The 17,251-nt window shown below is 41.9% G+C and overlaps 1 protein-coding gene across 1 annotated transcript in view, besides 1 other annotated feature; it reads left to right on the top strand.

The window, feature by feature from the left end:
* IL1RAPL2 (interleukin 1 receptor accessory protein like 2) overlaps nucleotides 1,309-17,251 on the top strand; it is a 1,201,631-nt gene continuing 1,185,688 nt past the window's right edge. Inside the window, exon 1 of the mRNA NM_017416.2 lies at nucleotides 1,309-2,161. The gene's annotated coding sequence lies outside the window, so the exon portion shown is untranslated. The remainder of the gene's footprint in view (nucleotides 2,162-17,251) is intronic.
* Nucleotides 2,386-3,143: an enhancer, noted in NCBI's record as "H3K4me1 hESC enhancer chrX:103811957-103812714 (GRCh37/hg19 assembly coordinates)". NCBI's record gives its function as "activates a minimal SCP1, AML or CMV promoter by ChIP-STARR-seq in naive H9 embryonic stem cells {active_cell/tissue: H9 hESC(naive)}" and the evidence as "EXISTENCE:reporter gene assay evidence [ECO:0000049][PMID:30033119]".

Genomic DNA, 17,251 nt, shown 5'->3' on the forward strand with positions numbered 1-17,251 from the left:
TTCCCGCCCGAAGGTCCTTTCCTTTCACACCCGACCTCTCTAGATCCCCGACTTAACCCCGATTGAAGAAGAAATTTTCCAGGATGGGGGTGGGGTTTTGCTGGATTTGTCGAAAGAGATGGTCCACAGGGGAAGAGTGCATAAACTTGGCGAGAGGCGAGAGAGGGAGAATAACCTTAATCATGCACAGGCTCCGGCCTTAACAGTTGAGTGGGTGGTGGACCGAGGCCAAGCGGCCAAATAAGTGGAGTAGAAAGGCGCGAGTCTGCGCTGCGTGCCACGTACCAAACGCTCAATTCTCCCTCCTGGGCCCTGTATCCATCTCTCGTTCGCTCTCTGTGGCTAATGCAGAGCGATGGAACAGCCTCGGGAGAATAGCTGGAGAAAGCTCAGAGAAAGACAAATTAAAAGGAGCTCAGCGCAGCAGCAAATGCTGGAGAACAGCGCTCAGCTGACCCGTTAAATGAGTAATTCGGTAAAGGTGTGTTAATCAGTGCGGCGCCCCGAGAGCCCAGCGAAACACTCTGGGAAGATACCTGGCGTGGCAACGGGACTCTTCAACGCTGCGATCTAGAAACGCTGCTAGTCCTGGGTCGTAGTCCCTCTCCCCTGTCTCGCTTAAAGAGAGGGGTTCCTGGGTTGCAATACGTTGGAGAGCAGGTGATCAGATGCATGGTTGGCGAGCCCCTGGCGCATGGCAGAATGATTGAGGCCAGGGTCCTAGCTGCAAGCCCATCCCTGCGTCCCAGTACATTACCTGCCTGCCCCATGACTGGCGGGGCTGGAGAACCCTGAGACTTAAGGATCTTATAGGTGGCAGGGGTGGAAAAGAAGAGTTCTCTCCGGTCCTGGAAAGCTCTAATTGTCAGAAAAACTAGGTGGTTTGCGTCTTTAAAAGCAAGTTCCAGTCTGCGGGGAACCAAGCAGGTGAACTCCTGACTGAACTAGATACCTGTTCAGCGGCTAGAACTGGAGACTGGGAGAGCTGGAAAACTTTTAGTGGCTTTCCATACCTGCACTCAGTTGAGCGCTCGCCCCAATCCTGTACGCCGGCCTACTCTGGTAAGGACGCTAGACGGCGCTGCCGGGACACGCTTTCCTTCTCCGGAGAAAGGTAAGAGAGCGCTTTTTTTTTTTTTTTAAACCAGGGGATGGGGGACTTGGGGTTGGCAGCCTTTCTCAATCTGCCTCCCCTCCCCGCGCTCCCAAATCTAAAGGGGTGTGGAAGAGGAGGAGGAGCAGAAGCAGCTCTTTTCGTGACGCGCCAGAGCGCTTCTCTCTAATTCCCACCTCCTCCCCGGTGCAATCAGTCAGCCAGGAGGCTCCAAACTGTTAGCGACAAAAACGCAGCTCTCGGTCACTCCCACTACCCTCCCACCCGCACTCCAGGCATATTTTGGAGGCGGCAGCAGCGGTGGCAGGATGTGAGGCGAGCCTGGAGCTCATTTCCAGGCGCCCTTCCCTCTTCGGAACTAAGGGAGACTTGTGGGCTTTTGCACACTGGCTGTAGGGTTCCCGGGAAAGACTGGAGCAGCGAACAGGAGGGAGAGAGGTGGACAGGCAGAGTCTGCACCTGCCGCCTGCACCTCCGTTAGGGCGACAGGGCAGCTGGTGTTTCGCTCCTGGAGTGTGCCTACCTCGCAAGGGGGGCGAGGGCCACAGGCTGAGGCGCCCGCGTCCCGGAGTGCACCGCTTGGCCGAGGCAAGGTGTTGCTGGGGCAAGGCTGCTCCGAAGCGAAGTCGCGCAAAAGGAAGAGTCTGGGAGGCAGGCGACTTAGGAGAGTCTAGTCACTGAGAGACAGAGGCAGCATCTGCCATTCTAACTACGGAGCTGAGTAATTTAGAAACCCTCCTTAACTCTCCCTTTCCAGCTCTCCCCAAAGTCCACAGAAGCTCTGCTGAACTCTAGAAATCTTCCCTGGCTGGGGGGAAGTTTACTAGTATCCTCTTTGGCTAAGACAGGGAGTGGAAAAAACAGGCGGGGCTGTACTGTCCGCTGTTTGGGGAGACGCGGTCTTCCTCGCGCCCCCTTCAGCCACTCCGACTGCCTGGGAAGTCCCAGCCCGCGCTCTCCGGAACCCGGCTCGCCGTCTCGCCCTGGACATGGAACTACGCATCTGAGACCTGCTGGACGTTTTGCTGGCCGTTTTGCAAGACTCAGGTAATGTCCACTCGCAGAGCTGGAGAGTTGACTGGCAAGGGCCAGGGGAGAACGCGCTGCGCTCTCAGTTGGCAGCGGGGCAGGCCGCAGCCAATGGAGGCTTTATCTTTCCTGCAGCTCTGGTCTCCGCGCCTGGAAATTTGCCAGTTGGCTTTCTCTTCCTTTAGCCTTCCCAGAAAGTTTAGGGAATAGAGCTCCGAAGGCCAGGGGCTCTTCGCCTGGGAGGAGCGTGCGCCGTCCTTCAGGTGCCCGCGAGCCCAAGCGTTGCGTTTCCGCGGCGGGATCTTCATGCTCTCTGCGGCTGGCGCGCGGGCTCTGCAGCCTGGAAGGCAATTTCCAACTGGGCGCTTCTGACTGCCCACATTTCTGCCGCAGCTGGGAGAGCAACTGGAGCTGGGAAGAGGCTCAAGGCGGCTCCTGGGTGGAGCAGCGAGGGGTTCCCCAGCAATACGCTGCCGCTCCTGGGATTCCCACCAAGCACTAGGCAGGGGAGATCGCTGGATATCTGGGGCCATCTCTGTGCTCCTGCACTGAGAGCCTGAAGGTACTTCCCCTGTGGTTCCCGAGACGCCCCCTTTCCTCTTCCCGCAAGAATCCCCGATACCCCTAGAGTGGGTTTCCCAGGTCCCCACTGCTGCTCAGGCGTGAGGATCTGCCCGCGCCAAATTGCGCTTCAGACTCCTTGTGAAGGAAAACTAGAGTGGGAGAGTAGGGATAGCCACTCGCGAGTGGCTCGCCTTGCCTCTCTGGGCCTGGCATTGGAGCAAACAGCTTGATCTGTCACCATCAGACGTTTAAGAAAAATGCTTTGGCAAGGAGACCCTGGCAAGGGAAATGTGTATTATAACAAATGTCTGCTTCAGGGGTTTCTCCTGGTCCCTGCAGCCATCCCCTCTCCATCTGTGCCGCCCAAGGACTTAGAGACATTAGTAAACAAGTATTCAAGATTTTCCCCTTGCCACCCACAAAAGTTGTGACTGCACAGAAGTATTGGAAAAGTACTTCTCAGTTGAAAGCTACTCTAGAGCCTATCACAGGTGTTTTTTTTAGGGGGAGTCTATTTAGGAGTATCTTGTCCCCGAATGAGGAAGCGGGACCTGCCCACCACCACTACCTTCAATCGAATGTGTAGACCTCCAAGAAGGAATCCTCCTTTCTTTTCCTGGCCAGGGGAATCAAGCTGTAGATTATTAAACATGCGGCATAGCTGGGAACAGACCCCAAGGAAGTAAGGGAGGGAGGGAGGAAAGGACACTTCTCTGAGCCTGCAAGTTCAGCACGGGCGTCCTACAGTTCAGGAAGACTACCTCAGTGACAGAGTCCCTGGGAATGAAGGAGTTAAGTTTTTGGGACAAGTGTCTGGGACTGGGGTCCATTTTCCCACTGACATCCTCATCTCCCACCCCACCGCAGCAGCCGACCCAAGGTTTTGGCTTCATCTCTGAGCCGACCCGTACGGTGTGAACTCTCTAATTTGCGGGCCGCCCTGGGCTAGATAGCCCACAATTACCCGCCGTGGAAGCAGATTATTTGGGGCACTAGTATCCATGCATTGTTGTACCACTGGGCTCTTTGCCAGCAGGGTCTCGGATACTTAGGCTTCCACCCCTTCTTGCCGCACAGAACGCGTTCTTCTCCATGCTTCCGGCTTCCCCAAAGATAGCAATTGGGCAACTACCCTGGGACTTAGGGAGGGTGAAATTCCCAAGTATTCCTGAGCCGAGGCTTCAGCAGAAGTGCCTATCTTCGCCACTTGCATCCCTTCTACTCCTCTCCTCCGTGGAGCAACCCCTGCTCTATGGCCAGTACAGTCGCACCGTGAGGCTGCTGGACCCGATGCGGAGACTCCAGTTTGAAACCACCTGCTTACAGTTAGCTCTCCAATTTGAGGGCTGCCCTGGGGTAGACAGCCTGCAATTACTGAGGTGGAAGCAGCTGATTTAAATAGCGTTTAAATGTGGATAAAGGGCTGTGGCATCAAAGGCTCCTGGCTTGCCCACTCTAACCTCAGCTGGTCTGAAGGAGAGGCAAGTTGCGACCAAAGCTGCCTCCGTGAACAGACAGCTGCAGCCGCTTCTGCTTCTGCCCTATAGGTCAAGGCCAGACCTTTGGAGCAGTAGGGTTGAGGATTTAAATCCGGCTTTGTGGAATAGCCTCTGCTTCCCTCTCTGATATCTGGCCAGTCTTAGGTTGAGCAATTGGCCATTTTTAGTTTCTGCGGGGCTTCTACCACTTTGACCTCTCTGTGCAGAGGCTAAAGGTACTGGTCAGGGGTGGTGGATAGCAGGGTGCCCCTGGACTGTGGCATTTACAGGTAAAATCAAGTCTGAATCTTGATTTACCCATTCATTTCCTGAGAAATAGTTCCTCAATGTTGTAGAACATTCTTGTTTGCCAATAACTGGCAATAGAGTCCATACACACATATGCTGCTTATTAGGGTGAACTGATGGTGAGATAACCTGGAGAACAGCCCCTTATAACCATCTGGAACATGTCTCCACAGCTGCAAAGCCCATTGAAATTTTATTTAGCTTTAAAAAGACATGCTGTAAAGAATCTGACCATATAAAAAAGATGAATTATGAAGTGACTATTTCAGTTTTGTTTAAAAGAATAAACTTCACTTTATCAAATACACTGGCTTCCATAGTTTATTGAAGTGTCTCAGTGCAAACATTTGCTATTTGGGAAGAAGGGGAAAGATTGGGAAGGTGAAATGAGTTAAAATATGGTTGAAATGATCGTATACTTTGGTAAAACAGAACTTTGTGTTCACATCTGTGCCTTAAATAAAATCATCACGATGTGATGTGAGGCCCTGAGTAGATTCTGTGACAGGTTGTAGCACTATGATGAAACCAAAGGGGAACATATATTTATCCTTTGTATTTGGAAATTTCCTGTAACTGCAGCAGTAATGATTACAGCTGGGACTGTTGGAAGACAAATGTACACACTGCCTTCTTCGTTTGAGAAGTACCATAACCTCCTTTGTGAAAATGCACTGTAATCAAGTGGAAGAGATAAAAAGTCCCAAGTTTGAGGTCTTCACTAATAATATATAAAAGAAAAATCATTGCCAAACCTCGAGATGTAGACTAACAGGGTTTTTTCAAGGCTGGTTTCTAGCTGTAGTCAGAAACTCACACCTTTTAATCTCTGAGAACTGTCCCTTGATCCTAGGTCAGAAAGCTGTGATTGGAGCCAACTTGGTAGAGAAAGGTAAATGTGGAATGTGCAATATGTGCTTTAATTATCCTGAGCTAGGACTTGAAAATAAGCCTCTCATTATCTTTAGACTTGGAGCTGCAAGTGCCAAGGAATTTGCCAAAATAAAATGTGTCTGTCCAGGCTGGGCATGGTGGCTCACATCTGTAACAATCCCAGCACTTTGGGAGGCTGAGGCGGGAGGATCACTTGAGCCCAGGAGTTTGAGATTAGTCTGGGCAACATAGTGACACCCCACCTCTATTTTAAAAATGTGTCTAATGTAAGGCCTGATGCAAGGATGTAACACATGGATACATCTGGCCAAAGCTACCGCTATTTGGGCTGGTTCACTTTGAGTTATCTCCTAATGACATCAGAGGCACTAGAGTGAGTCCACTGTGGGGCAGTTTCTTTTGGGCTTCCCCAGCCACAGACATGGTTCCAAATCTTTTGTCAAATGATCTAAATACATATTCCCTGTGCCAAGAAGCCTAGATTTAGTAGCCTTCTTGCTTTATTTTTCCCATTAATCTCACAGCTTCGTGTAGCTATACCTTGGCTTCTCTCTTGAGTTTCAAAATGCTTTTTAGCTGGTTTGCTTTATTCCTGTATTTGGGTGTTCTGTTGTCATGAAAATGTATTAAGACACTGACTTGACATTTTCCCCAAGCAAACTTTTGTTTTTTTTTTTTATCCCTTCCTTTTAATGAGGTCCTTATTCTCTAACCCTAGCACCTCTGATCTCATTCATCTGTGACTGCTCCTGTGTGCCTCATCCATCACTACCTCGTGCATCCTGTCTTTTATTAAATGCCCTGAATTCTGTCTCTAGAATAGGTTTTCTCCTTTGCATTTGTACTGCCACCACTTGCAGTTAGGTCTTCTAGATTCTTGATCTGGCCTGCTACAAAAGCCTTTTCTTGCTGTCTTTGATCTGCTCTCTAATTCAGTATATCCTACATGTTAGGATTAATCTTCCTGTAGCTCATGTAGTTCTTTATTTAAAAGTGTTACTTAGTGAGTGGTTGTTAAGTCATACAGATTGTTATTGAATCTAAAATAATCTCTAACCATTTGAGTTGCCTGATGCATTAAATAAGTTGCATTGTAACCTTAGGAAGTGATATGGTTTGGCTGCGTCCCCACCCAAATCTTACCTTGAATTGTAATAGTCCCCACGTATCAAGGATGGGGCCAGGTGGAGATAATTGAATCATGGGGATGGTTTCCCCACTACTGTTCTTGTGGTAGTGAATAAATCTCACAAGATCTGATGGTTTTATAAATGGGAATTCTCCTGAACAAGCTCTCTTGCCTGCCGCCATGTAAGACATGCTTTTGCTTCTCCTTTGCCTTCTACCATGATTGTGAGGCCTCCCCAGCCATGCGGAACTGTGAGTCCACTAAACCTCTTTCTTTTATAAATTACCCAGTCTTGGGTATGTCTTTATTAGCAGTATGAGAACAAACTAATACAGGAAGTTCTCTAACATTGCAGGTGAGTACACAGCACGGCCAACCATTTGGTGGGAACTCAAACATCAGATTTGGGACATTTGTTGCCTAACCCAGAGAGTCCATATCATCCTTTCAATATCCAGGGACCCAAATAGTGTGTTGTTTCCTATCAGTTGGCCTGCTGAAATTACACCTTTTAAAAATTATTAGAACTGTGTTTTATAGTCTTTTGTTTGTTAACAGTCTATTGCTATGCCCAAATAGGTCATTTTGCTCTGGCTTACTTGGGTGTGCATCACTCTAGGAATCATCTAGATCATTGTATTATGTTATGAATTTTTAACATTTATGTTGTGCTTGCTTTATACTTTGGGGAATGCCCTTCCCCTTTCTTTACCTTGCTTAATATTTATAATTATTTGTGAGGCAGGTGGTCTGTCCAAATTGGGAAACTTTGTTTTATTGGTATCACAAAGCTATTATTGCTCTGGGGTCCTGGCTCAGATAGCACTAGACTAAAGGGATTTTATTCTCTCCTCATTAGCTGTAAAACTAAGTCCAAATTCTTTAGCCAGAAGTTTAAGGCTCTTTAATATTTAGCCTCAGTGTACCTAGTAAGCCATATTTCTTACTACCTTCCTGTTCACATAATCTAGCCAGACTGGATCACTCACCATTATCCAGTTATAACCTTTGTTATATATCTTTTGTGCCCTTGCTTATGCCATTCTTTTCCCTGAAGTATTTTTCCTCCCAATTTCCATCTCTACTTCTCTGCCTGTTGAAAACAAACCATATTCAAGAAACAGCTTAATGCAACTCTCCCTAATTTATCTCTCATACCTCATAGCTAAAATAATCTGTCCCTTTTCTTTTTCTTTCTTTTCTTTTAGACAGGGCCTCACTCTGCCACCCAGGCTGGAGTGCAGTGGTGTGATCACAGCTCACTGTAGTCTTGACCTCACAGGCTCAAGCAATCCTCTCACCTCAGCCTCCCGCCCCCAGTAGCTGGGACTACAGGTGCATGCCACCATGCCCGGCTAATTTTTGTATTTTTTTTTGTAGAGATATGGTTTTGTCATGTTGCCCACGCTGGTCTTGAACTCTGGGCTCAAGCCATCTGCCTGCCTTGGCTTCCCAAAGTGCCGCGGTTACAGGTGTGAACCGCTGTGCTCAGCAATCTCTCCCTTTTCATAACTCTCTTGGCACATTGTTGATCCCCCTTTTATGATATTTACCTTGTTCTGCAAACATTATTGTTATTTGTGTATCACTCTATCTCCTCTACTAAATTTTAAACTTTTGGAAGGCTGTCTTTTGTTCTGCAGAGTGCCAAGGGTATAGGAAGCATCTGTTACATACTTATTTAATTGAGCTGCCTTTGAGATCTCAGTATTAGCCTTAGCATTTTACTATGTAAATGATAGTTTCAGGTTAAGTAGGAAATTGCCAAATCTATTATTTGCCAATAATGTCATGAAGCAGTATAATAGGGCACTGATTTTTTTAAAACAGCTATGCTCTAGAAGTGCTCTATTCAATAAATATGCAGTTGTATAAATTTAAACTGATTACAATTAAATAAGACTAAAAATTTCGGTTCCTCAGTCACCTAGCCACATTTCAAGTACTTGATAGCCACATGTGGTCAGTGAATACCATATTGGAAAGTACAGCTATAGAGTATTCCCATCACCAGAGTAAGTTCTACTGGACAGCACTATTATACAACAATGGTTCTCAACACTTGTTTCCACCAAAAACACGTTCACAAAGGTGACTGCTTTCATGGGTTTATGCAGAATTCCCAGTGCCATAGTGCTGCCACTTTTCTTCCTTCTCAGAACACAAATTAGTAACATTACAGGAATCATCTTGACTCTGTTTGGGAGACAAATTAGATATTTATGTCATATCAAACACCAGAATAAATTCCAGATAAAACTCTGAAGAAGAAAAAATTATAAAGAACTTGATCTATCACGTATAACTTATATTGGAAATTATAATGATTAAAATACTATGGTACTTGTGTAGGATCAGACACATTACTATAACAGAACAGTGTCCAAAGAAATAATCTTAAGTATATTATGGATTTTAAGAAATGACAAAGATTTCAAATTCATGCGTTTGAGGGAAAAGATAGATTTTTCAGTAAATGTGATTAGGACAACAGCTGGTCATTGAGGGGAAATTTAATAAAGCTACATCTATACCCACTATTTAAACCAAAGTTAATTCCAGCTTTCTCAAAGATTTAAATGTAAAAAAAACTATAAAGACACTCAAAGATATTTTAGATTATTTGAAAATCTATATAATTACAATTTAACATTTTATTTTATGATATGTTTATAGTCTTGAGATGGAGAAGGTTTTTCTAATTATGAAGACTGAAGGCTTAAAGGAAAAGATTGATACATTTAACCTTCAAAAAAGTCTTTATGGTAAAAAATACCATAATCAAGGTTAATTAAAAAACTAGGAAAAATATCTGTGACACATAACAATGGGTAGTTATTCTTAACATAAAAGAACTTCCACATATTAATTACAAAATAAATCTCATAGAAAAAATGGGGAAAATTCATGAATAGAATACTCACCAAAAAAGGAATACCAAACTCACTTTGCAAATAAAAACTAATAGTTTTCACATATCAGATTAAGAAGGCTTCAAAACCAACATAAAACATGGTTTTGGCAAACCTGTGAGGATATGGATGATCCAACGTACTGTTTAAATTGGTCCATTTCCAAAGATTGCATTGGCAATCTGTATAAAAATGTAAAATACCTTCTATGACTTAGCAATTTCACTAAGTATTTATTCTAAGAAGATAAATGCAAGTACTAAAACATGTATACACAAGGATGTTCATTAATGTTTCATTTATACTGGCAAAGCTTTGAAAACAATATAAGTGGCTCTAATAGTGTATTGACTAGGTCAATTGGGATGTATCATTTTAATCAGTTACTTGGACACATTAAAGACAAAGCAGACCTACATTTATTGATATGGAAATATATCCATAAATATAATTTAATGGAAAAGGTAGCTTACAAAGAAACACAATTCAATTTTTTCACTTGTTTATGTATTTGTGTACATCTATGTGTGCATATAAGCATATGAAATGTATAGAAAGTTTTTCACCAAAATGTTAATTATAGGTGAAAAGACTGAATTTTCTTTAAAAAATCAGCCTGTGCTTTTGTTTATTTACAGTGAGAATAATACAAGCATATATTTTATAATGCATTTAAAATGCTTATGGTACTCAATACTCTGCTTAAAGCACAGTGGCAGTTATTATGCTTATATAATTTATAAGATAAGCTAGTCAAAGTTAAATGTGAACTTCAGAAGGATTCAAGTGTTAAATGTAAAAAAAGGAAAGTATATAATAACTAAAATATAATAAAAGTAACCTGGGAGCAGGACTTTCTAATAATAATAAAAGAAGAAATCAGAAAAATCAATAGAGCATTTTACATAAACATAGAAAATGTATATGGATAAACATATAATAATAAAGATAAATTGGAACAAACAAACAATTGTAATATTTGATATGTAAAGGTTTATATTAGCTCAAAAATATAACTTTCCATCAGCTAACCACCCACAAATAATAAGGTGTTATTTGGACTCTTATTTTTTATATTATAAACATATTGTATATATCCTATAAATATATAGAGTTATTGAAGTATTTTACATGCTAGCTCTGGTAACACTTGCAGTGATTCTAGAGGAATATGGATTGGGGAATATGGGGAAAGGACCATGTAGTGTAATTTTCTGCTCTAACTAGACAAGGATAAAGCCTCATAAGATAGTGGCAGATGCTGCATATCTTGGCATGAACTTACCTGCTCCATTGTTCTCTATAGATTTACAGCTGCCAGTGCCACTATCGGTACAGGGAATGGTCTTGCCAGTGCCACTATCTATACAGGGAATGGTCTTGCCAGATCCAAAAATACAGCTGACTTTTTCCCCTATACACCATTAGTTTTTTAATATTCAGCATCTATGTCACCATATTTCCATTTAAGGGGATGTTTAGAACTAACAGCTCTCCTGGTTCTTGAACCAAACTCAGAATCAAAAAGGTCACATCCTCATCTGAGGAAAGAAAACCAGATCAGGGCCCAGATATCCTTTAGTGAAATATCTGCTTTAAACTTTCTAGAAAATGGAAAAATCAATTTCCCTAACGTCTATTTCCTAGGTCTTATTTAATGCCCCTAATAATGGGTAGTTGTGACACAGAATTTAGACTAAGGGCTATGACCACAAATAATGATAGCTAACATTCAGTGGAGACTAATTATATTCTGGGTTCTATTCTTAGTACAGCTTTATATGTATTAAATCATTTCATATTAATAATTATTTTACTGGGAGGTAGGTGGTATTTTTATTACAATTTTTAGATGAGGAAACTGAGACACGAGTTCAGTAATTTGCCTAGTCACAAAGCTATTGAAATGGCTGTTCTGGGGTGAGAACCCAGCCAGTCTCGCTCTAAAATCCATGCATTTAAACGTGACACAAAAGTATGTATACTAAGAGTAGTAACAGATACTATTTAGCTCAGTTATGTAGCTTTCAAATTTTCTACAATTAAGATATGTTACTTCTATAATCACAAAATATATGATATTAAAAATTAAAGCTTCAGATGGAGCCATAGACATAGCCCTCTCAACTCTTCAATTTTGTCTTTATATTCTTTTTTACAAAAGTATCCTAAGGCGTTGTACCATAGGATATATCATTTAAAAAGCCTACTTAATATTTGGAGGTGGTAATTGCAATCTGTTGACCAAAGATAATTGCATTTTGCAACCAGAAGGGATGATGGGGTAAAACCTCTGAAACTTTTGCTTCAGAGTCTAAAATGTACAATTATTTCCCAATTGAACCTAATAACTGCTTTATAATATCATTTCCTTTGTTATCCAGCCTAAACTTTGTAGTATTGTCCTTTTGCTAATATCTTCATCTGATTCTAGACTCATTATCTTGTCACTAAATCTGCCTACAACACCTCCCTCTCCGTTTTTGGATCAATCTAACCACCACTTTCTCTGTTCCAACATCTCTATGGCTGAACTCTAGAGAAGTTCATACCTGTGCCAGAAACAGTACATGGTCTAAAACCTCATTTGGGCCCTGCAGAGGTGCTAGGAAGACCTTTTACATGTACATATTCAGCTTTCTTTCCCATCTGTTTCCCATGGTAGTTATTTCAAACACCCACTGCTCATCTCAGACTACATTTTTCCATTCAGGCAGTTGTTCTTGCCTTTGACTTTACTTTCAGACTTGACTTTCTAACTCCATTCATTCTCTTGCCTCCTCCCCTTCCGTTCCCATACTCACCCAATTCCCTAGTGTTTTGTTCAAAGTGAGTAATTCCATTGGATCCTGTGTTTAAGAGTTCCATGTCCTCAGTTATCCTCTGTTTTCTCTGGGAAGTAGCAGTAGTTGGGAAGGAAGTCTGAATAGCCAATTGGAGCATTGGAGCTTGGGGGAAAGAGGTCATTAATAAATGCAGAAGAATATTTAGGTAAGAGTGAGAGTTCCAATGAGGTTAGGGATCATGACTTTATAAGTGAAAATAGTCTACACAGCTGTGCAGTTTTTTCAAGCTCTGCTCAGGTGTAAGAATGGAGGAAGTGGACAGTTGTGTTGATCCAGAACTGAGTTTTGCCAGGATCCATCACAGGGACAAAAGAATGAGAAGGTGAAGATATTAGTACAAGTTGTGGAAGTGATGGATTATGAATTGAAACTGTATAGGGAAGGAAGCATCAGGGACTGATAAGTAAGGTAAAAACTGGTTGTGAGGTGGGAAGAAAGTACAAGGGTGGTCGGGGACTGATAATTAAGGTAAAAACTGGTTGTGAGGTGGGAAGAAAGCACAAGGGTGGTCGGGGTCTGTATGAGGAGGACACAAGAGCAGGGTGATGATGCAGCCCAGCAGTGGCTAGGGCTTATGTCAGGAGAGTATATGAGGGATGGTAGCCTTGCAGGGGTCAGGACTCATACAGAGTGGGGTGGCAGTCTGGCAAGGCCGGATAGTTGACTACATGCTGGGAGAATGAGCAAATAAATATATTAAGAGTAATAGGAGTGGGCTTCTCACTGTCATAGAAGGCAGTTACAAATATGGAAAGGCGGGAGGCTAGAAGGGACTCTGTGGTTTTGAATTGGAATTATCAGAGTCATTCATGGCTATTTCTGTCTCCATCTATGTATATATTTATGTTTCTATTTGTCTATGTAAATGATTATATATCTTACACATATGTATATTTCCTAACTTTGTCCACTGAGAGGGCCAGGAATAGCAACACATTAGTAGTGATAAACATAACAAACACCCACATCTTAGTTTGTCAATAGTAATCTTCACTAAAAGTAATCAGAGTTCTTTGAAGAAATTGCTTATCTCAGGCCTGGGGCAGAGAAGCAAAAAGATGAGGGTGGGCACATCTTGTGCTGCCAGAAAGTAAGAAGTGCTCAAACAATGATAGGGGCATGTGAAAAGACAGAAAGAGAGTTTGAAGGGGCTCCTACTAGTGCTATCTCCAAGAATAGAGAGAATGCTAAAGCTGAATGGCATGAGCCTCAAAGAGGCAGAGGTTTTTACATGAAGGCAGTGATAGAAGTGGCAGTGTGAAGACACCTTACACATTTCCTGATCCTGAGCTGGATCTACCAGAGAGGGCCGAAGGGGGTTCTTTTAATGTTGAATCAGTCCCAAGGCAGAGATCACGTGCAGAATGGTGGTAAGGGATCTGGAAGGGCACACAGAGGGGATCCAGCACAGTAGTAAAGAGATACAGGCAACAGGGAATACAACAAAGATAAGAGGTGAAGAGAAACTCTAGCATTTCAGTTGTGCAAATAGGTCAAGGGAACAACTTATTGAGATTTTCAGCAGGAAGAGAGAGGGCTCCAGGAGGGATGTTCCAGGAAAATTATTTTCATGAGTTTTTAATGATCTGTTGGAAAGTTTGGGGGCACTTGGTTATAGAGATATAGAAAAATGAGTCACGTGAAAATGAGACAATTTTCATATTATAACTGCAGGAAAAACAAAAAGTTCAAGAAAGGAAATGAAATCATAATATACTATTTGGCTCACAACTTAATATTCATAATAATGTAAAATTATCACATAGCTATATTTGAATAATTGAGAGAGGACAACTGGTTATTATCTTCTGTATTAGGAACTCAATAGATAATATGTAATATTGACTAAGAAGCAGAAATATGAACATATTGTTTATAAACATGGAGATACATAACAGATGAAATAGCTTAAAAAGTTGAAGTTGTCTTTAAGAAAAAGGACTTGGGGTAGGGGCAGAGAACTGCTGTTTTATATGTATTATAGAATTATGTATAAAGATACATGTCAAAAAGTTATGGTGCAGAGAAATCAAAGACCTAAAAGCAAAAATACCATTCAACTCAGCAATTCCATTACTGGGTACATGCCCAAAGAAATATAAATCACTCTATCATAATGACATGCATATGTATGTTCATTGCAGCACTATTCACAATAGCAAAGACATGGAATCAACCTAAATGCCCATCCGTGGAAGATTGGATAAAGAAAATGTAGTACATATATACCATGGAATACTATGCAGCCATAAAAAAGAATGAAATCATGTCCTTTGCACCAACACAGATGGACCTGGAGGCCATTATCCTAAGCAAACTAATGCAAGCTAATGCAGGAACAGAAAATAAAATCCCACATCTTCTCACTTATAAGTGGGAGCTAAACAACGAGAACACATGGACACAAAGAGGCGAGCAACACCCGCTGGGGCCTACTTGAGGGTGGAGGGTGGGAGAGGATCAGAAAAAAATACTCATCAGGCACTAGCCTTAGTACCTGGGTGACAAAATAATCTGTATACGAAACCCCTGTAACACATAGTTTACCTATATAACAAACATGCACATGTATCCCTGAAGCTAAAATAAAAGTTAGAAAAGAAACTTAGGGCAAGACCAAAGTGAGGAGGACTATTTTAAAAACAGAACAATCTACTGGGGAGTTTTGAAGGGGGGAGCCAAAGGAGCAAGAGGAAAAAATATGCATGTCAAAATCTATTTTAACCACTTTTCTCAAACTAGAGCTCACTCTGTGCTGCCCTCAGCACTATTTATATTAGAATCTTCCCCACCCCTATCCCCACACAAACATCCATTGATGTGCAGGACTCCTAATTAATTGCCCAAATTACCTGATTCTACTCTTCTGCCACAGTTTCAGTTACATTCTACAGCACTTAGAGCCACAAAATACCAAGAGGAAAACAAAGCAAAACATGTTTATATTACCTCTCACTATATTCAGGATTGATGTATTGATTAAACCTCTCTGTCACTTCCATAGTGAAAGGTTGTCCTGCCATTGGTCCATTGTATTATTTTCTTCCCCCAGTACTTTCTGGCTTCTTACATTGCAAATACTCACTGTCATCCTTCTCCCACTATGTCACCTTCTATATAGACATCTGTGTTCTGTCACAGCTTTTACATTTGAACAACTATTCATTTTATAGACATTACAAGTAAAATACATTGTCCTGCAAGGAATATTACAGTTGTACTTCAGGCACGCCTGCTTTACAATGTCAACAAGAGGGATCCATTAATTTATAGTTTTGTGTTTGGTAGGGGAACCATATAATATTCTACATATATTTAGTTCTCCAGAATGTAGCTTAATCAATATGGCACCTCAGGCAACCTGAAATACTGAAGGCAACATAAGATTGTCAGACCAAGAAATTTTATGTCTGCTGATGGGGGTTTAACTCTTTTGGAGGCTGCAGAAGGTATATATATTTAGAAGATTATAGTAAAGTCGATGATAGGAAAGAATCAAACTGATGTGTATAAAAGGTACTGAGGGAGAGAGAAGTCTGTATTTAGGACCCCAAGGCAGAAACTTCCAGGTTCTAATCCTTGCCTGCCAACCTTGAGCACTGTAGAGGTTTCAATAATATTTTCTATCTCTGAGTGTCATTAGACATTTATAAAGGGAATGCCTCATGTAGGAAAACCTGCAGTACCACCTTGAGCCAACCACTGACCTCTATGCCTGAGTTTGGCACCTGCCAAGTGAGATGGGCAGTTGAACTATGTGCCTTTAGGTGCCTTTGAATCCTGTGGTTCTATGATTTTAGTACCATGCTCTGCTTATCTCAAAGAGCTATTCTGAGGCTCAAATGAAATACTTGACATGCAAATGCCACAAAAGTTTCAAGTGCTATACGAATGAATGTAAAAGTGTTTTAAATTATGCATCTCTAAATATAACCAACAACTTGCACATGCTCTCCCAAACAAAGCAAATGGGCTTCTGGGCTTCGATTTTCAATTAGTCTCAAAACATATGATTTTACTTGTTCCAATTTTCAGAAGCAAAAGGAGCAAAAGATTCAAATTATGATCTTTATTAAGAAGGTACTAAGCCACTTAGAAATGCTGGGCACATTATGTGGCTCGGCCAACTTTTTCACTGTTGTATTGTGTGGGTCTCCCAAATAGCTTTTACTGTGAAGACTAATAAAAATGATAGGAAAGTTAAAACTGAGCAGAATTAGATTAAATCTCAATCTGTATTCTGCAAGGGTTTTTATTTGTGTGTGCATACTTTTCTATATGCTTCTAATCTCTTCATATGGTTTATAGATCAGCTATTAGTTAATAGGTTCTGACATGTGATTAATATGTAGGTATTTGAAAATTCATGTGGTGCATGCCTATGTCTATGGAGCAAGGTGCTGAATCTGCACATTCACCTCAGGAACATTGGGGATGGAAAGTCAAGCCCAGAATTATCTTTTGCATGAAGGATGCTAGCTAGGGCCTTTCTAGGTCCCCAAGGGAGACACTGAAGATCTTTTTTCATTAAATAAACATCCACTAAGAACCCGATAGGCTTCATATACTATACTATTCGCTGGGAACTTCTGACCTCAAGTGATTTGCCTGCCTCAGCCTCCCAAAGTGCTGGGATTATAGGTGTGAGCCACCATGCTTGGCCCAGCTTTTTCTTTCAGATAAAAATTTTTTCTTTCAGAAAAAAAATTGCTCCTTCCTTAAAAGTTCATCATGAATTCTCAAAGAGAGACACAATGGTCAGCTCCTATGACACTAAAATTTAGATACCAGAATAAAGAATGGAAGGTAAAAACTGCCCAAACTCTTTCTGGGGTGGTGGTCAGGAGGATCAGTCCCTGAGAAGACAGAGAACTTAAAGGATATACTTGAAATTTTTATTTAATGCAAAGTATAACACTTTCTGCCTAAATACTGCTGCATTAGAAGCATTTTATTGTAAAATCTCTTTCCAGGCA

Source organism: Homo sapiens, chromosome X (genome assembly GCF_000001405.40).
Source record: "Homo sapiens chromosome X, GRCh38.p14 Primary Assembly".
NCBI lineage: Eukaryota > Metazoa > Chordata > Mammalia > Primates > Hominidae > Homo > Homo sapiens.